Here is an 18,270-nt window from a genome sequence, read left to right as displayed (position 1 = left end):
GGAGGAGCTGGAGTGAGTGGAGGGAGGGATGAGGGCTGAGCGGCCACCACCTGTCCCCTCGGCTGTCCCCAGTCTTAGGGGCCTCCAGGGTGGCCCAGGGAGAGGAGAGGGCTTTCCAGTGAAGTCAGGAGGACTTCCTGGAGGCACAGGGTAGGGACAGTGGCAAGGGGACCATGAGGAGGCAGTGGGAGAGGGTCTTACCAGGCTCTGTGGCTCTTGGGGGATCCATGGAGGCTGCCTTGCTGCCCCCGTCGGTGTCCCCGCGGCCCCGGGCTGTCTTCCGCAGCTGGAAGCCCTTCCTGATGTCAGCCAGCAGGGCATCGATGACACACACCTCCTCCTGCTTCCCGGGCCCCTTCCTGACTGAGGAGCGTGGGGCACTCAGAGAGCGGCATGGGACCCTGGAGCCCACCTAGAGGGCTGGGGGTGGTGGGGAGGCTGGAGCACAGACAAGGATCCCAGAGTCACCCCCTCCCCGCCCAGCCGGCCCAGCCTCACCAGGCTTCCCGTCCTCTCCCCGAGGCCGCCGCGCCTCCTCCTCCGCCAGCTGCTGCTTCCTCCTCTCTGCCTTCGCCGCCTGCTCCTTCCGGTCCTTGTTCTCCTGCACTGGCAGATGTGGCCCCGTCACCCCAGCGTGGCATCCCTCAGGGGCTCCATGGGCCTGGGCGTCCCCCTCCCTGAGCCGCAGCAGCGCAGGGCCCACATGGCTGTGTCGGCCCGACGAAAGGTGCCTCTGCCCATCCTGCCGGAGGAAGGCCAGGGGCCTCGGGACCCCACTCTAGCCAGACAGGCTGTGTCCCGCCGGGCTGCCCCACCTTCAGGGCGCGGAGGAAAAGGTCCCGGAAAGCCTTCATGGTGCTGAACGTGTCCTCCAGGGACAGCTGCTGGGCGTCCTCACACAGGTAGTCGGCCAGCTCCCGTTGCTTCTGCTCGATGGCCTCAAACAGCTCATCCAGTGCCCGGAAGGCCGAGATGCTGGCCTGGGGGCAAGGGCACGTGACAGTCCCGTGAGAGCCCCGCGCGGGCACCACCCGGGGTGAGGCCCTGAGTTGCGGGAGGGTGACGGCCACAGGGACAGGCCCTGAGGACGGTGGTCTCTGACAAGGAGCAGGGGCCTGTGCCCTGACCATGCACACCTGGGGAAACTCGGGCCCCAGGATCCACCCTGGAGCCAGGAGACAGCACAGCCACTCGCCCAGCTCACTCTATCAGGGCAGCCTCTCCCGCCAGCCCCAGGCCCAGGTGCCCACTTGCCTGGAGGCGCTCGGTGTACTGCTCCTGGACCTCGGCCACGGAGGCAGACACCTTCCGCTCGGTCTCCAGAAGCTTCTTCAGGTTGGAGCTGGCCTCTGAGCGGATGATCTCCAGGTTGATCCTGAAAGGTGAGGAGGGCCGGGCAGAGACAGCAACGGCTGACGTCAGCCTCGCTGGGACAGGGGAGCCCCTCCCCTGCACCCCCCGGCACCCCACTGTGCACCCTGCAGGCTGTACTCTGAGGCTGCACGTGCAGTGTTGGGGTTGAGTGCCTGTTCCAGCTGACCCTCAGCCCCCTGTGAGCATCTGGGCGGGGACCCTAACGGTCAGCCTGTCCTGCTTGCCTAGTTCTCCCCAAGGCTGAGCAGCTCCTGAGCCAGAGAACCTTCCAGGGCAGGTGGAGCCCGGGAAGAACTCCGTGCTAGGGGCCCGGACTGTGTAGTGGGGTGGCCCAGGCTGCCCTCCTGCCTGGGTTGTGTGACCCAGGAGGTGACACTGCTTTCCTGGGCCTCCGTTTCCTCATCTATACAATGAGGGAGGCCCGAGCCTGCTCACGGCTGTCGTGAAGGTCCACCTTGTGAAGGGGCTGTATTAGACCTGCCCGTGGTGTGACCCTGACCTGGCCAGCCCTTGCCCACTCTAGGCCTGTTTCCTCGCTTAAGTCAGAAGGGGATAGGCCACGGCAGACCCGGTCCTGTCCCAAAAGGGAAGTGTTCTATTGGGCAGGGCTCCGTGGCGCCGGGGCTGCGCTGCAGCTGTGAGACCCAGCCCTGGCGGGCAGCCACCTCACTGCCTGGGGACAGAAGTCAGGCCCCCACCTGGCTGAGGTGGGCGGGCTGGCAGGAGCTACCTACCCTGCTGCTTGCGAGGGCTGTTCCAGGTCCCGGGGCAGCTGCAGGAGGTCGGGGTGGCTCTTTTCCGCTTCCTGCAATGGGACACGTCCAGTGAGATCCACTGTGGTCATACTCTCCACCTGGGGATGACCCTGTTCCCACTCCCCCAGCTCTAACCCTTAGCAATTAAGGTCCAGAAAACCCCCAGTACTCCAGACCCTCAAATCTTTCCCTTGGGCCTGGCTATGACTTTGTGATGTTTCTGCTTTTCCTAGGGACTGTCCCCCAGATCAGGGACAGGTATCCTGGGGAGGGACAAGGCTCGTGCAGGGGAGCCAGTGCTGCAGGAAGGAAGGGGTGCTGGGAGGGGTGGGGGCGTGGCTCTGACTGAGGCTGCTGGCTCTAGACGGAGCCCTGAGACAGGGAGACCGGCGGCCTGAGTGGTGGGCATGGGGGTATGGCCTCTACGCCTCTACACCCCAGGTCCGGGGGGACTTGAAGCCCTCCCATTATGCCCCCGCCACCACGGCCCACCTCCAGCACGTGGTGCAGCAGCGTCACGCGGTTCTGCTGGGACTTGGTCTCCGTGAGCTTCAGCAATGTGCTGATCTTGAAGCCGTCGGCGTCACCGGTGTGGCTGCCCTGGGAGGGGCAGGGAGTGAGTCTCACCAGCCCCTGGCACCAGGTGGGATGGGGAGCTGCCCCTGACTTACGTAGTTGAGGAAGTTCCCAATTCTCAGGATCAGCTGGCAGAAGATGGGCAGCTGGCGGCTGGTGAGCAGGCCTGCAGGGGCAGCCAGGGCTGGAGAGGGGCTCTTGGTTCGGAGCCCCCAGATGCCCTGGCGGTGGGGTGTGGTCCTGCTTGCCAGTGCCCCTGCACTCCCTGGCTCCTCCCCAGGCTCAGCCCAGCACCGGAAGGATCACAGGACAGGGCCTGGGGGCTGCAAACCCTCCACCGACGGGAGTGGACACCTACAGTGTGCCTGACAGACGTGAGCTGTGCCTCACTGGTCCGTACCTGTCCCTCTCCCTGCCCAGTGGCTGTGGCAGGTCCCCATGGATTCCCCTTTCAGAGATGGTGCCCGTGTGTGTGCACTTATGTCTGTACATGTATGTGAGGGTGTGTGTGTTGGGGGGGTGTGTACGTGTGTCTGTGTGTCCTGTGTGCATGTGTGTGACTGTGCTTGTGGGCTTGTGTGTGTGCACGTGCCCGAGTGGCGGTGTGCATGCGTGTGTGCACGTGCCTGAGTGGCGGTGTGCTTGTGTGTGCGCGTGCCGGAGAGTGGCAGTGTGCTTGTGTGTGTGCACGTGCCCGAGTGGCGGTGGGCATGCGTGTGTCTGTGCGTCCAGTAGGTGTGTGCACCGAGGTGGTGGCAGCAGGGTGGTTTCCGGAGTGGTGGTGAAGGCTGGCACCCTTAGGTGCTCTTAGCAGCCATTATGATACTGGCAGTAGCAGGGGCCCCGAGCAGCCCTCCCGCCCCGGTTCGGAGGCCTGTCCCTCCTGCACACGTGCCCCGCTTGGCCCCACTCACTTTCGCAGGCAGCCAGCACCAGCTGGGCCTTGGGCCGCACCATGTCCAGCACGGCGGCCGCGCCCTCACACAGCAGCATGCACTCGATTCGCAGCTGGTAGCTGGGGATGGCACAGACAGGGATCAGTGGCCTGCACCCCCCACCTGTCCCTGCCAGAGGGGCACTCAGCACAGGGCTCTGGCTTGGGTGGTGGGCAAAGGGAGGGGGTTTCCACCGCCTGCCCCATCCAACAGGCACCCTCCCGGGCCTGCGCAGAGCAGGATCCAATTCCTCCAGAGGCCTCCAGCCCCACACTTTGAGGGGAAGGACTGGGGGTGGGGCTCGAGTGATGTTTAGAAGCCCAACCGCTGCAATGCTGCTCCTGGAGCCCGGGGCAGCCATTGGCACAGCCTCTTCTCCTCCCTGGCTGGGCCCTGCTCCCTATTCCTGCTCTCCTCCCACCTGGGGCCCAGGCCCTGGGGTCTGAGGGCGGCCATGCTCACCAGGGAATGGCCAGCAGGAGGAGGTAGAAGTGGTCGGCGCTGGCCAGCTTGGCTCGCTCCTCTGTGAATGCCCGCAGGTTTTCAATCTGCCAGGAGGAGAACGGCATGTGGGATCCCCCCATGCCAGCTTCCCGCCCTCCCGGACTGCCCGCCGGGCTCAGCCCCTCCAGTGCCCATCATGGCTCCCTGTGGCTCACGGTTCAGGGCAGAGGTAGGGCTGGGATGCCTCCCTTCTCTGTCTCCCTGCTGGGAGCCCCCGGGACAGCCTCTCCCTTGGTTGGTGGCACTAACTGGGGGTGGGGTGTGGGGGTGGTCCTCTTACCTCGTGCTTCTCGGGAAGGAGCTTAAGGAGTTGTTTGAGAACCTCCACATCAAACTTGGTGGTATCTCCAGCCCGGATCATAGCAGCGACCTCCTCGTTGGAGCTGGAGCAGGGAGAGGACCGGGCAGGGGTGAGTGAATCATGAGTCACCCCCACCCAGCCTCTTTGGGACCCCACCTGGCAGGGTTTCCCCACGTAGTCATGGGGTGGCCAGGGCAGGGGGGACACAGAACAGTCGAGTTGTTGCCCACGGTCACGCGGTGAAGGGGACCCAGGCTGACTCCCACCCTCGCTACCCTCCATGGGCCCTGCTCAGGAGATGCAGGATGGGTCGGGTCCAGCCAGCTCCCTCGGGCCAGTGCTGGACACCCGCAGCAGGAAAGGACTCGGGGGCTGAGAGTCAGGGCCCACTGGTTTAGCCACTACTTGTCTGTGGCCTTGTGGGGGGAGGTCCCAGCGCTCTGTCCCTGGGAGCCTGGACAGCCCCTAGCTGGGGCAGCATGGGGCTATTACCCGCCTACAATCCTGCCTAGGGGATGCAGTGTGCACTTCCCATGGCGGCCTGCAGAGGGCACTGCTGGGCCCAAGTCAGAAGGCTCAGGTGGAGGCGAGGCTCCGTGGCCTGGGATGGGGGCTACCTCCCTCACTCACCACTTAAATTGCTTCAGGAAGATGTTGAGGTTCAGGCTCTTCTTGGCATCGAGGAAAGTGATCTAGAAAACCCCCCACCCAACAGGCTGGTACCGGAGGGTGGCCAGGCAGGCGGCCCCGGTCTGAGTCCCCTCCCCGTCCCCACCTCCTTGGGCTCCTTCCTGGCCCGGGGGGCCACCATGGTGGGCTCCTTGGGCTTGGCTGCAGGGAAGGAGAATAGTCGCTCGATGCTGGAGAAGTCGGGCTCCACAGCCTCGGCGTCGGGGCTGCTCAGGGACGCCCACATAGAGTTGTGCTCTGTCGGGTGGGGACACGGCCAGTGAGGCTCTCGCAGCCCCGGGGCCTGGCGATCCAGCAGGCAGGGGCTGGAGCCTCCCAGAGGGTCTAAAGGATGTCCTGCCTGGGGCCCAGTAGGTCCAGGTCCAGCGTACAGCAGGCACCCTACCTCCCTACCTGAGCACCTGTAGCAGGGCCCCAGGGCACCATGGCACCCCAGATGCACTGGCTCACGGGAGCATGTGGAGGGGGGTCCTCAGAGGTAGCCCCTGCCCTGCTCCTCCCCCGTCCCCACCTCAACCACAGGCGCCGAGCCCAGAGCAAGGGCCAGGCTGCCCTGGCCACGCACGGGCAGGACGCGCACACAAGTTCCATGTGCCACCTGCCCCTCTCCCCAGCAGAGACCAGCCCCCGTCCTAGGGGAAGCTTCCCTTGGGGGTCTGGGGACCCTCACCACGTGCCACGTTGGATGGCAGCTTCTGCCAGTTCAGCTTCTTCATGCGCAGTGTGGGTGGGTTCACCCGCCGATGGCTGGGGACCCATGCTGAGCCCAAGCCATGGTCCACCTGGGCCACGATGACCTCCTCCATGCCTCCCGCCACGGGGGGGCTGCAGGTGCAGGGCAGTAGTGGAGGTGGGGGTGGAGGAGGGCCCCAGCCCATACCAGGCAGCAGGGGTGGGGGTGGGGGCGGGCATCCCAAGCCCGGGAGTGGTGGAGGTGGTGGGGGCAGGAACTCACAGGAGCCTGGCAGGGGTGGTGGTAGAGGAGGTGCTGGGGGGGCCATGGCCCCCAGGCCTGGCAGGGGTGGGGGCGGGGGTGCTGTTGGGAGGGCCTTAGCCCCCACACTGGGCAGGGGGGGTGGTGGGGGAGGGGGAGGGGGCTCGGCACTGGAACCAGGGAGCAGGGGTGGGGGTGGGGGTGGGGGTGGGGTGGACGCCTGCTGCTCCAGGGCTCTGGGCTGCGAAACTTTCAGGATGCTCTCACTCTGGGCGTGGTCCACGGGCTCGCAGGCAGCAGCTGCTGCTGGCTGCTGGCCCTCCACGCTGGGCTTGGGGGTTGTAGTGTTTTGCGGGGAGCTGCCCCTCTGGCTCTGGTCTAGGTTGGCCTGGACGCTTTTATGGGCCTTGACCAGGGGGCTCGGTCTGGGTCGCCCCTTGACAGACAGGAGCCGCTCAACCACTTCCTCCAGGGTGCATTCCTGGGCTGCAGTAGGGGATGTCCAGGGTCAAGGGAGAAGGGAGCCGGAGAGGGAGGGATGGGGGCTTGAGGAAGAGGCAGGAAAAAGCGGCCACCTCCCCTGGGCAGAGGATGGGTTGGGGCCAAGGGCAGGCTCCCCCCCCCATGGTCTAAGACCTCAGTGTCTGCCCACCAGGCTGTGCCTACGCCCCTGCCCCGCCCCCTCACCATCGCTGGCCAGGAGCACGGCCCGGTTCACGAGGCTCTCCAGGGCCTCCCAGAGCAGCTGGCTGGAGCGGAGGGTGGGCTCCAGGTGCAGGAGGCCCTGCAGCACCGACAGGAGCTGGGCAGACACCGGGGAGCAGCTCACCTGGACGGGCGAGTGTGGGGTGCAGGTCAGCAGCCGGCCCCTCCCTGGTGGACTAAGGACTGTGGCCTGTCTGCCAGGGTGTCCAGCCCCATCACCCCCTCTATTCCCACGGATCCCTAGAGATGAGAGTTTCAGCGACTGTGGTACTGGTGACATGTGGGACTGTCCTGTGCATTATGGGATGTTAAACAGAACCACTGGTCTCTACCTACTCAATGCCAACAGCACCCCCTGCCCAGCCGTGGCAGCCAAAAATGTCTTCAGATGTTGCCAGATGCCACCTGGGGACACAACTGCCCCCAGATGAGAGCTGCAAGGTTCAGGGAATGAGGGGAAGGCCTGAGCTTGACGAGAATTCAGCCTCTTAGCCCCTCACCAAGCCCTGAGGCCTCTGAAGCCCACCTGATGGGGACTGGGCAGCTGGGGCCCAGGACAGTAAGGCCGGCTGTGGGCCGCACTGGTCTTTGGAGCCCCGTCCTTCTGGGTCCTGTGGCCCTGGCTTTGCCCCCAGGGCCCAGCCCGGCCCCCAGGCTGCCCGCTCTAGGCGCCACCTCCCTTTCCAACCCCTGGGTCCTTGCTGCTCCCTGGAGTCTCACCCCAAAGCTGGCACCATGGCCCAGGTCACAGCAGGGTCTGACCAGGGCAGGGAGGACCGTTCCAGGCCCAGCCTCTGGACCTCAGGGCCACAGCCTGCCCTGGAGGGCTGCCCTCCGCCCTGCAGCCCCCAGCCCACCTTGTGGAACAGGGAGGCAAAGACCTCCTGGTGGCTGCTCATGTCGACCCCGCCAGAGACTCGCAGCAGCTCCTCCTCGTCCTCGGCCTTAGCCTCCTCGAAAGCCTCCAGCTGGATCAGCAGGTCGGCATCCTCCAGGTCTCTGTGCAGGAGGGGCCAGGTGGGCTAAGCCTGCTGCTGCCACCACCAACACGCAGGCGGGGCAGCCTGGGTCAGCGCCAGTGTACCAGCCCCGCTCAGCCCACCTGGGACTCTGAGCCAGGCCATAGCCAGCTGTGGCTGACATGTGACCCACATAGCCAGGGATAGCGACCTAAGAGTGGCAGCTCCCAGGTCAGTGCCTTGCGCCCTGCCAGGCTGCCCCCGGGTCACCAGGCACCCGCACGCCCCTGGGGAAGGGGAAGGGCGAGTATGCCCACTCCCATCGAGTAACGTGCACCAAGGCCTGGGGAGGTGGCACACAATGGAACCGGGCCGTGACCTTGGGGGAGGGAAGGCCCTCCCCTGGGCGCTGCGTGACTACAGTGAAGACCACACCTGAGGTGGGTCCACAGGGCTGCATGGATACAGGAGGGGCGGGGCTCTGGCCTGAGCAGGAGGAAACTTAGTGTTCACTGGGCCTAGGACTTGCCAGTCATCTCAGTCTGGTCAATGAGCACAGCCCTCCGCAGGCAGGGCCGGCCCCCTTCAGCCCACACTGGTGGGGCACAGGCACCCATGTGGGCAAACTTTGCTGAGGCCATTTCTGTTTTTTTTTTTTGAGATGGAGTCTCGCTCTGTCACCCATGCTGGAGTGCAGTGGTACGATCTCAGCTCACTACAACTTCTACCTCCTGGGATCCAATGATTGTCCTGCCTCAGCCTCCTGAGTAGTTGGGATTGCAGGCACATGCCACCACGGCCAGCTAATTTTTGTACTTTTAGTAGAGATGGGGTTTCACCATGTTGGCCAAGCTGGTCTCGAACTCCTGACCTCAGGTGATCTGCCCATCTTGGCCTCCCAAAGTGCTGGAATTACAGGCGTGAGCCACCGCGCCTGGCCCCTGAGGCCATTTCAACACCAGGCATTCTAGCCCTGGGCTCCTCCAAGCTGATTTCCCTGGGTGTAAGGACACCCCCCTGAGTACAGTCCTGACTGAGGCCTGGATAGAGCTTCTCAGCTATGTGGGTTCCCAGCAGGGCTGCAAGATTTAGCAAATGAAACTACAGAGTACCTGTTCAATTTGAATTTCAGACAAACAATGAATAACTTTTGGCATAAGTATATCCCATGCAACATCTGGGATATACTTACACCAAAATATCGTCTGTTGTGTATCTGAAACCTGAATGAACTGCATGTCCCATACAGTACCTGGCAACCCTAGTTTCTTTTTTAAAAAATTTTTATTTTAGACTCGGGGGTACATGTGCGTGTTTGCCACATGGTACACTGTGTAACGTAGGCGATTTGCCTTCTAGGGCAGTGGTCCCCAGCCTTTTTGGCACCAGGGACTGGTTTTGTGGAAGACAATTTTTCCATAGACTGGGGTGACGGGAATGGTTTAGGGATAAAACTGTTCCACCCCCGATCATCAGGCATTAGATTGTCATGAGGAGCGCGCAGCCTGGATCCCTTGCGCGCGTGCGTGCGCTGGAGAATCTAATGCAGTGCTGATCTGACATGAGGTGCAGCTCAGGCAGGAATGCCCGCCCACCGCTCACTTCCTGCTGCGTGGCCCGGTTCCAATAGGCCAGGTACCGGTCCGCAGCCTGGCGGTTGGGGACCCTTGTTCTAGTGGGCCTGACACCAAGTAGCGACGAACACTGTACCCTGTAGGTAGTTTTTCAACTCTCGCCCTGGAGCCCGTGTCCCTGTCTCCATCTTGCGTCCACGTGAACCACCCTGTAGTTCCCTCTTATTGGCATTTCATTTTCTGTTTCTGGGTTGGTTCACTTAGGATCACGGCCTCCAGCTCCATCCACGGTGTGCAAAGGATATGAGCTCATTCTGTCCTTTCTATGGCTGCTGCAACCCTAGTTTCTGTGGGCAGCTGCCAGGGACAGTGAGCTGGATTCTAGCCTGAGACCTGGCTTCTGGCTGGACCCCTGGGGTTACTCCGAGGGAGCCACCTCCCTGCCATCTGGAGGTGCTGCTTAGGTGAGGTGGCTGGGAGCCAAAGGGCAGGTGGGCCTGGCCTTGGGAGCAGGAGGGGGAGCCGGCAGGACCGCTACAGTGGGGACTCACCGCAGGCGAGCCAGGACGTCCAGCAGCTGCAGCCCTGGGAAGGGACGGACAGGGTCAGAGGGTTCGGAGGCCACTCCCCGCCTTCCCCATTTCACTTCTGCCACCCAGAGCACCTGACCCTGCCCTGCTGCACTCATGGGACACCAGAGACCTGAGGCTCTGGAGGGGAGACATCATGCTGGACACACAGTGATGCTTACTCAGGGCTCACTGCCAGAACTGGCAGGGCTAGAACGAGGTCTCAGGCCCCCTGTCCGGCTCCACTGCCTGGCCAGTCTCACAAATGAGAACGGTCCAGGGTTGACCCCCAGGCGTTCTGAGGCCTGTGTCCATTGAAGGGGCAGGTGGTGGCAGGCCCGAGATGGCGCCTTCCTCTGGGGCCCTGGGTCGGGGGCAGCTTTTGTGGCGCTCCCACCTCCCCAGGTGGATGCAGCATGGGATGCACTGGCCAAGAGGCGGGCAGGAGCGGGCATGCGGCCCAGGGCAGGTGCTTACCGATAAACTCGTTCCGCAGCTGGGTGCGCGCGCGCAGGTCCTCGGGGCCCAAGATGACGGCGTTGATCACGCTAAGCAGGGTGACCACGTAGGGCACGTTGTCGCTGCCGGAGAGCTCGTTCATGACAATGCTGAAGCGGTACTGCTGGCTGCACACCGTCTGTGGGGAGGGCGGGGTCAGGGCACACCCAGGCAGGGAGCCCCATGTGCCCAGGCCCAGGCCCTGCCGCCCACCTTGTAGTGGTCCAGGGCGTCCAGGGTCAGCACGTGGCCCTCGGGAGAGTAGATGCACAGGGCAGCCAGTAGCTCAAACACCTGCTTCTTCACCATCACGTTGGATGTGTCCAGGGCTGCCAGGGTGGAGTGGGCAGGCTCAGCAGGGCCAATGCACCCCTTCCCATGCCTGTGCAGCTGGGCTCAGGGCTGGGGCTCTGGGCCTGGCAGGCAGACGCCAGGGGGTGCCGGGCACTTGTCTGTGGCCCACAGCAGTGGGCTGGGACCCAACGAGGTGCCCCACTCCTCGGTGTCCTGGCCCTGCTCCTGGACCACAGGGCCAGACCCTGCAGGGAAGGGCTTGGAGGCAGCTGCCCCATCCTGTCACTGGCTCTGGGCCCAGCTTTTCTCCCAATGCAGCACTTACTGTGTTTATGGCAGACACAACCTCATTCCTATGAACCCCTGCCTCCCACCCCATCTGGAGCTGTGAAAGTTCTGGGGGTGTCTCTCATCTGACCCTGCTGAGAACAATTCACAAAAGACTCCATAGAGGGGCCCTGCCAGGCCCAGGCTGGGGAGACGGGCTGAGAATGGCTGGCCCCTACACCTGCCTCTGTCCCCTGGGTCCGACAGAAACGAGGCGCCTCTGGCTTGCTTGCCTGCACAGGTAACTGCCGCCCCCATGGGCCCAGCCCCGCCCATCACTGCCCACCCTAGCTCGTCCCCAAGCATCGGTAGGACCTGGCAGCAGCCATGGAGTGGCACAGCAAGGGTTTCTCTCAAGGGACCGGGACTAACTTTGGGCACAGCCTGGGGAGACTTCCTGGAGGACAGGAAAGTGAGCTGGGGCTTAAAGGCTTAGCGGCGCAGGACCTTGGAGGACGCAAAGGCAGAAAACACGAGCAGAGGCAGAGACCAAGGGCCTGCCTGCCTGCCGGGAACGAGTCCCCTGGGTGCTGGAGTAGGGGACAGGGCGGGGAGGGAGGCGCTAGGGAAGGCGCTGGGAGGTGGAGGGTGACACCATCAGTAGGTGTGGGCCAGACCTCAAGGGCTCTGTCTGGGCTGAGGCTGAAGGGCTTGGAGCTAGGCAGGTGTATGTAGGGAGCCACTCGGGTGGATTCGCATCTCTGACTCAGTGACTCCTGCCGCCGAGGTGTGGACGAGGGCAGAGAGCCCAGAGGGTGGGAGCCAGCACAGGACGGGGAGGAAGGGTGGGGCAGAGCCACACAACAGAGAGGGGCACAGGGGGACCGCTGGTGCAGCAGTGCGGGGACTGGGGTGACCTGGAAGCCTCAGACTCGGAGTGAATGTGGATGTTTTTCCTGAGCCCAGGAAGCCAGTCCTCCTCCAGGAAGCCCTCCTTGCCTGCCTGGCTGCGCTTCCTCCTGGTGGTTCCCCAGGCCTCCCGGGGCCTTTTGGGCCTGAAGCCTCATACCAGGTCCCCAGCGTCCGCCTGGGCGGCCCTCCCACACTGCGGCTCACCCTGGGAGAGCTGGCGCACGTAGCCCTGGTTGCTGAGGATGTACTCGATGCCCTGCCGCGAGTTCATGACGGCGCGCACGCAGCTGACGCAGGTGAGCTGCAGCAGGGCGTCGGAGATACGTGCAACGCCGCGGCCCGACAGCCGCGCCAGCGCCTCCAGCAGCAGGTCCAGGCCGCTCTGCTCCAGGAACTGCACCATCCAGCCGCCGTCGCTGCCCTCCAGGCGCTTGCGCAGGCCGGAGTAGTTGACCACAGAGGGCATCTGGAGCAGCCGGATGCACAGCTCGGGGTCCGCGCTCTCCAGGTTGGCCTCCGTGGGGTCCGAATCCTGTGGCCCCAGCTTCTCCTTCAGCGCTGCCCACTTGCGCTGTGCGCCCTCCTTCACCGACATCTTGCCGAGCTGCAGGCAGAGGGCAGGGAGCCGTCAGCGGGGAGGGGATGGGGGCTGTCCTCCTGGCCACCAGCGCAGGCGGGGCCACTTCCCTCGGTCTCAGTTTCTCTGCTGCAATTCCTGCTCACGTGCCATGCTGAGGGTTAGGGGTAGCACTGTGTCCCCCACTATATCTTAGGCTTCCCTGTACCCATCCCTGACCGAATTTCAGCAACCGAGGCGGCAGGCAGGAAGGGCCCTACTGCGCGCATGAGGACCCCGAGGCTCAGGGCTGGGAGGGGAGGAGCCGGCTCAGAAACCTGCAGCACGAGGCCAGCACGGCCCCTGCAGAGTGACGGGACCGGATGAGCTTGGGGAGGACTCGGGGGAGCGGGAGGCTCCCCTGGCTGGAACATTACCCACGGTAATGATGCGACAAAACGGCGCATCTGAGGCTGCCTTATCTCACCCCAGGGCACTTCCCCCGCCCCAGTGGACAATATGGACAGGGAGATTCCAAACCTCAGGCATGCCTGGGGTGCCCACAGCGTCAGCAGCGTGGCTGGGGAGGAGGGGCGACTCCCAGGTCTCCCCTGGGCCTCAGTCTGCCCGTCTGCATGTGGGTAGGGGGCCCACACCAACAGGAAGACGGAAACCCTTGGCACTCAGGGTTTTACCAGGATTCAGTCGCAACAGGTCTGACTCCAGCCCTGGGAACACCCGGGTAGGTAACAGGCCCAGCCCAGAAGAGCCCCAACACGTGCCTTTCCCCAAAACAGAACAGCAGGACAGGCGGGTTGCACCTCTGACATCAGCTCCACGCCACCACATCCCCCCAGCCGCTGTCCCCAACCACAGACCCTGGGAACTGGCCTCGAAGGTCAGGGGCATCCCAGGCCCTCCTGCAACCATGTATGGCTTAGATCTTATATTTAGCGTCTGAGAACAGCAGCGTGGAGCCTCGGGGAGGGAGCTAGGGGGCCGGGCCTGGCAGGGACACGCTCTGAGCCTCCACCCCGGCCCAGCACTCTCCACCCTGGCCCTCGGCTTCCCACCACCTCCAAGGCAGGCACTTTATACCTCCCACAACAGGTGGGGAACTGGAGGCGGCTGGGTCCTAGAGAAGCTGGGTCTGTGCCCACAGTCCCACACCTGGGCACGGCTGGGCTGTGACTGGAGGTCCCACATGGCTTTGCTTCAAGTGCTGCCCAACCCGGTAAGTCAGGGGACCCCAGGCTGAAGGGCATTTGAGGTCACGGGAGCTGAGCGGGGTCGAGCACCCAAGCGCCTGCCTCCCCAGGAGGCTCTATTCCTCCCCTCCTGCCTTGGGAGAGTGTCCTGGAGCACCTGCCCTTGAGGTCTCAGGCCCACTCCCCAGCCTGGTCCACGACCAAGCCTGGTGTTTCCGGCAGTCCAGCCCCTACTCCCCGCACCGCCCCTCAGCCCTCCACCTGTCCAACTGCCCCAGGGGGCCAGTGGGCTCCTTCCAGGAGGCAGCCTGACAGGTGTAAGCCAGGGTTCTGATCTGCATGTCCCCAGCCCGGGCCCTCACCAGCAGACCTTGGCCCAGTCACTCATCCTGCCTGGGCCTCAGTTTCTTCTTCTGCACCTCCAGCACCAGGCTGCCAGGAGCATCCTGAGAGGCTGTCCTTGGGATGCCCCTCCTCCCTGCAGGGGGTCCTGGTCTGGGCACTGTAGAACGGAGAGCCCGGAGCCCCCGGTGCACTGTGGTTTTAAGCCACCCTCCCAGGCCCGGCCCTCTTGGTCACCCAGTGGCCGTCCACTCACCCAGATGCGCAAGACCTTCCGGCCACCTCTGCCCACCCACTCTGGGCCCTGTCCTGGGCTGCTCCTCACGCTCCCCTGGCTTCTCATCGCTGCTGACCGCTGAGCTGCCAGAGACAGCCGGGTCCCTCCCAGGCAGCCTCAGGTCCCCAACGCCCCTCCTGGTGGCAGTAGGGTTGCTCCCACCACCATGAAGAGCCAGGCAGCCGGGCCTCTGCATATATTCCCACCCGCCTTGGCTGTTGCTGCCTAAAGAGGCCCCAGAACTGACCCTCCTTTCCTCCCCCGCCTCCATTGGCCGGAGTCCCTGTCCCCTTGGCACAGGCTGAGTGGACGGAGTTATGAACTCTCCCAGGCCCGGCCCCTGGCATCCAGAGTGTCCTCTCCAGCCAAGAGCCCCGGGGGTCCCTCCATGCAAAAAATCCTGACCTTTTAGAGACAAGCAGTGCCGCCGAGAGCCACCGTGCCCCAGGCCCCAGGGTGTCCCTGGACACAGAAGATGCTCCCTGACCTGAGTACTGCCCCTCTTGGCACTGCCCAGCGCTCCTTGCCCTGTGCAAGCCCCTGAAAGACCCCAGTCAAGAGGATCCCCCTTGGTCAGTGGGGTGGAGCCACGGTGGGAGGAAACTGGCCCTCCTGCCCATCAGGTTCCTATACCCCCGTGCCTGGGTGCCTGGCTCTGTGTCTGAGCTGCCCCAGCTGGCCGTGTCCCACCGGGTGCTGTCTGGGGGCAGTGAGTGTAACAGGGTCTCGCTGGGCTGCGGCCCGGCATAGACAGGGCTCCGGCTGAGGCCCCGGAGGCTGAGGCCGGAGCTGCTCTCCTCCTTCTGTGGTGCTGCCAAGGCTGCCCGATCTCACCCAGGCCCCCCGTCAGGCTCTACACCGGAGAATGTTCCAACTGCTTTTCAGCATGAGGCTGAACCTGCAAACACACCACGGCCAGACCATATATGCAGCACTCTGACCCGCAATCTGGCCACTGGCCCCAAATGGCTGGGACCTGGGTAATAACTGACAGCTTCTGTGATTTTTGTCTCATCTCATAGGAGCCCAAATTCCAGCCAGCAGCCTCTCTCAGGGCATCCCCGAGCCTTCCCTGTGTCTATAAAAAGCTTTCTATGTATAGAGTGAATTATCCATATGAGAAAACCATGAGGCTTCCCACTCCCCCGCCCGCCTGTGAGTCTCTGCTAAACGCGGGTGGCGGTGGCCGACTCCCTGCTACAGCGAGCTCTGCAAAAACAGCCTTGCCTGTTCTCACTGGGGGGTGGTGTCCACTTCTGCAAGGATTCCAGAAGGAATCCACAGTTTACTGATCTCAGGGGCACGGGGCTATGGGGAACAATACGCTGGAAGGTGCCAGTGCCAACTGAGAAGGGAAGGGGGCGGGAGTCTCATTGCTGAGCTGTGTGCCCCTGGGCAGGCTACCCTTCCCCTCTGCTCTCCATCTGGAAAGTGGGTTGGCGGGGCCACCAGCGCAGGAATGTGTCCTCAGAGCTCCCCAGCCCCGGCTGTAGGGCGTGGCCACCTCCCCACAGGCACAGGAATTTGCGTTCTTCGCAATCTTTTCTACAGCCGGCACCAGCTCTGGCTGAGGCAGGGCAGGACCATCCAGGCTCTGCAGGGCCCAGTACCCATGGCTCAGGCCAGACCCCATGCCTTGGACAGCAAAAGGGTCAGGGCACCAAGAAGGGGCGTCCCATCCACCCCCCCCGGCAGTCCACCAGCACCAATGGAACTGCACAGGGCAGGGTCTTTTGCAGATGAAGACTCTGAGGTCTGAGGGGCTCACCCCACCCATGCTAGTGGGACATCACCATGGTTCTTCAGCACTTGCTTTTGTCAACCAATAGCCTGGGGCTTCCAGAGGACGGGGCCATGCCTCTCCCCTGACTCTAGCTCTGGCAGGCAGGGTCCCCCTCTGGGCCTGGGCCTGGCCAGCCTGGTGTGGTGATGCCAGCACCTCCATCCGAATGCCTACATGCTAGGGCAGCTGCACTGACTCTCGGGAAGCCACCGGGCCACCGCCCCGCCTAGCAGTCAACAGTCAAGCTGAGTGTGTGGTGTGGGTGGGGACAGGGCCATGCTGGCCTTCACTAGACCTGCAGCCATGTGCCTAGCCCCTGCGGTGCAGACAGAAAACCAGAGCCAGGGAGTGTGGGCTCCTGAGGCAGGCCCAGCACCGAGCTGTGGAGAGTAGCTGGGGGCTCCTGCATGGGCCCATGGTTCTGAGCGGCACACAGGCCAGGGTTAGGGTACCCAGACTTGAATCCCAGCACGCGAGGGACCTGAGCCAGCCACTGAAGCCCCCAGGCCTCGGCTCCCTCACTTGCCTCCCAGGAGCCAGGCGAGGAGGGCCTTCCACAGCACAGTGTGGGAGCTCCTATGCCCTCGGCCAGCACCAATGGGCCTGGAGGCCCCCGCTGTGACATGTTCTGAGTCTGCCTGGGACAGCCCCCTCCCCTGTGAAGTCCCCACTGGTAGGGAAGGGAGAGGTCTGCCTGGGTCCAGGCTCCCCACGAGGAACAGGCCAAGCCCTGAGCCTGGCAGCCCTGGGGTGGCAGGTACTGCCTACTGTGCCTGGGACCAAGGGGCTCTGGGGACCCTGAAGCAGTGGCGGGGGTAGGGCAGGCACTGGCTGGGCACATGAGCACCTGTGGGGGGCTGCTGCCTGGGAGTGGGCAGGCAGCTGTGGTGTCGCCCTTCTGGCACTGGCACAGGGCTGGGTGCTTCTGGGCCCTGAGCCAGCGTTGGTGGTGGGGGTGCAGGGAGGGAGCTTGTCTTCCACGGGGTGGGTGGGCAGAACGGCAGGAGAGGATTCCGGAACTAGGAGGCAGGGGCTGCCACACTGTATTTTTAGCTCCTCCGAGAGCCCCAATTTTTCCACTGCTTGGCAACCCATGGATCTCCAGGACTGCACGCGTTCCTGGCAGCACCCCGGGGTTCTGGGCAGCCCAGGCCCTGCAGGGCGGTGGAGGCACCTGGAGCTGAACCTGCCCTACCATGACCCCCATTCCCCTCCCTCACACTCAGACTCCCAGCTCCTTTGAGCCTCCAGCATGTGTCACCTTCCCCACCAGGCCAACAGCCCCTTGAGGGACCTCTACTGACCTGGTGGCTCACCAACTGCCGGCAAGGCCCAGGGAGGGTCTGTGCACAGGGGGCCTCAAGGCAGGTGAGGATGGGGGTCCACCCACTGCCACGTGTCCAGGGGCATGGGGCGCACTGGGCCTTGGTGAGGGCTGGCTGTGTCCTCACTGTCACCTGGCCCGTCTCACACCCAAGAAGCACTCCAGCCCTCATGCCACCTGCAGTCCCCAAGATCTGGATGGAGTGCAAGGCTCCTGCCTCCAAAGCCCTCCAAGATCTTGAACTCCGCTTGTTGTGCAAAGAGGGCCCCCGGGCCACTGTGAGGACCCACAGCAGGACAGAAGGGCCCCCTGGGAGCAGGTGGGCAGAAAGGCGCTCTCAGCAGCATCATGATCAGAAGACAAAGATGGGAAGCAGGCCGCATGGTGACGGATTTCAATCACATGGTGGGTGCGATACCACCGGGACACCTGCCCAATCACTAACTGAAGCTGCATCTCGGATGAATATGGTCGTTTCATACTGAGGAAGAAAGCAAGCAAAATGATCAAAAGACAGCAACATCTCACAGAGGGAAGCTGGGCTCAGAGCGGTGGTAGCCCCTGCTTGGGTCACCCAGAGAGCAGAGCTGGGGGCCAGGGGTCCTTCATGGCACTCTGGCAAGTGTCGGTGGAGGTGGCTGGGGGGTCCGGGCTGGCCAGCACTGAACGCCAGGGGACACCACTGGCCCGGGAGCCAGGCTACAGCTGGGCTCTCTGTGTCCCCAGGATCTGGGGCAGACAATGGGCCTGGGGAAGGTACATCTTCCTGGGTTAGGAACAGAGCCCTGTGGAAGCCACAGGGAGGAGGGTGACTCTGTAGGGGGGGTAGGGGGATGCAGCAAACAGGAAATGCCCCGGCTCACTGGGAGGAGGGGTCACTGGGAGGAGAGTCGGCAAGCGCAGCCCAGGCAAGGGAGGACAGGAAGGGCGGAG

At 63.8% G+C, this 18,270-nt stretch overlaps 1 protein-coding gene across 11 annotated transcripts in view, besides 4 other annotated features; it reads right to left on the bottom strand.

The window, feature by feature from the left end:
• Positions 1-18,270, bottom strand: part of INF2 (inverted formin 2) — a 41,403-nt gene that overhangs the window by 8,728 nt on the left and 14,405 nt on the right. For 7 of the 11 annotated variants that reach the window (NR_190061.1, NM_001426863.1, NM_001426865.1 and 4 more), the window contains exons 2-20: positions 12,052-12,451; positions 10,588-10,703; positions 10,354-10,513; positions 9,859-9,892; positions 7,632-7,773; positions 6,757-6,898; positions 5,806-6,555; positions 5,221-5,372; positions 5,076-5,137; positions 4,425-4,527; positions 4,103-4,188; positions 3,620-3,720; positions 2,801-2,871; positions 2,622-2,729; positions 2,109-2,179; positions 1,255-1,375; positions 816-980; positions 499-601; positions 202-363 (exon numbers count right to left, since the gene is read on the bottom strand). Coding sequence is in view for 10 of the 11 variants with exons in the window: in NM_001426863.1 (NP_001413792.1) it covers positions 202-363; positions 499-601; positions 816-980; positions 1,255-1,375; positions 2,109-2,179; positions 2,622-2,729; positions 2,801-2,871; positions 3,620-3,720; positions 4,103-4,188; positions 4,425-4,527; positions 5,076-5,137; positions 5,221-5,372; positions 5,806-6,555; positions 6,757-6,898; positions 7,632-7,773; positions 9,859-9,892; positions 10,354-10,513; positions 10,588-10,703; positions 12,052-12,442 (3,040 nt within the window). In the remaining variant the exon portion in view is untranslated. Of the gene's footprint in view, positions 1-201; positions 364-498; positions 602-815; positions 981-1,254; positions 1,376-2,108; positions 2,180-2,621; positions 2,730-2,800; positions 2,872-3,619; positions 3,721-4,102; positions 4,189-4,424; positions 4,528-5,075; positions 5,138-5,220; positions 5,373-5,805; positions 6,556-6,756; positions 6,899-7,631; positions 7,774-8,998; positions 9,893-10,353; positions 10,514-10,587; positions 10,704-12,051; positions 12,452-18,270 lie in introns of those variants that run through there. The other 4 variants (NM_001426868.1, NM_001426866.1, NM_001426867.1 and 1 more) reach the window with 1 other exon arrangement.
• Positions 4,931-5,080: a silencer, noted in NCBI's record as "silent region_6194". NCBI's record gives its function as "represses an Ori minimal core promoter by ATAC-STARR-seq in GM12878 lymphoblastoid cells {active_cell/tissue: GM12878}" and the evidence as "EXISTENCE:reporter gene assay evidence [ECO:0000049][PMID:35858748]".
• Positions 6,766-7,356: an enhancer, noted in NCBI's record as "H3K27ac-H3K4me1 hESC enhancer chr14:105172789-105173379 (GRCh37/hg19 assembly coordinates)". NCBI's record gives its function as "activates a minimal SCP1, AML or CMV promoter by ChIP-STARR-seq in naive and primed H9 embryonic stem cells {active_cell/tissue: H9 hESC(naive and primed)}" and the evidence as "EXISTENCE:reporter gene assay evidence [ECO:0000049][PMID:30033119]".
• Positions 11,369-12,356: an enhancer, noted in NCBI's record as "H3K27ac-H3K4me1 hESC enhancer chr14:105167789-105168776 (GRCh37/hg19 assembly coordinates)". NCBI's record gives its function as "activates a minimal SCP1, AML or CMV promoter by ChIP-STARR-seq in naive H9 embryonic stem cells {active_cell/tissue: H9 hESC(naive)}" and the evidence as "EXISTENCE:reporter gene assay evidence [ECO:0000049][PMID:30033119]".
• Positions 17,998-18,189: a silencer, noted in NCBI's record as "fragment chr14:105161956-105162147 (GRCh37/hg19 assembly coordinates)". NCBI's record gives its function as "represses an EF-1alpha promoter that drives an FKBP-Casp9 reporter gene in an ReSE screen in HepG2 liver carcinoma cells {active_cell/tissue: HepG2}" and the evidence as "EXISTENCE:reporter gene assay evidence [ECO:0000049][PMID:32094911]".

This window comes from Homo sapiens, chromosome 14 (genome assembly GCF_000001405.40).
Source record: "Homo sapiens chromosome 14, GRCh38.p14 Primary Assembly".
NCBI classification, from domain to species: Eukaryota; Metazoa; Chordata; class Mammalia; order Primates; family Hominidae; genus Homo; species Homo sapiens.
Note: the sequence above shows the minus strand (reverse complement) of the source record. Positions and strands in the feature narration are given on the sequence as shown.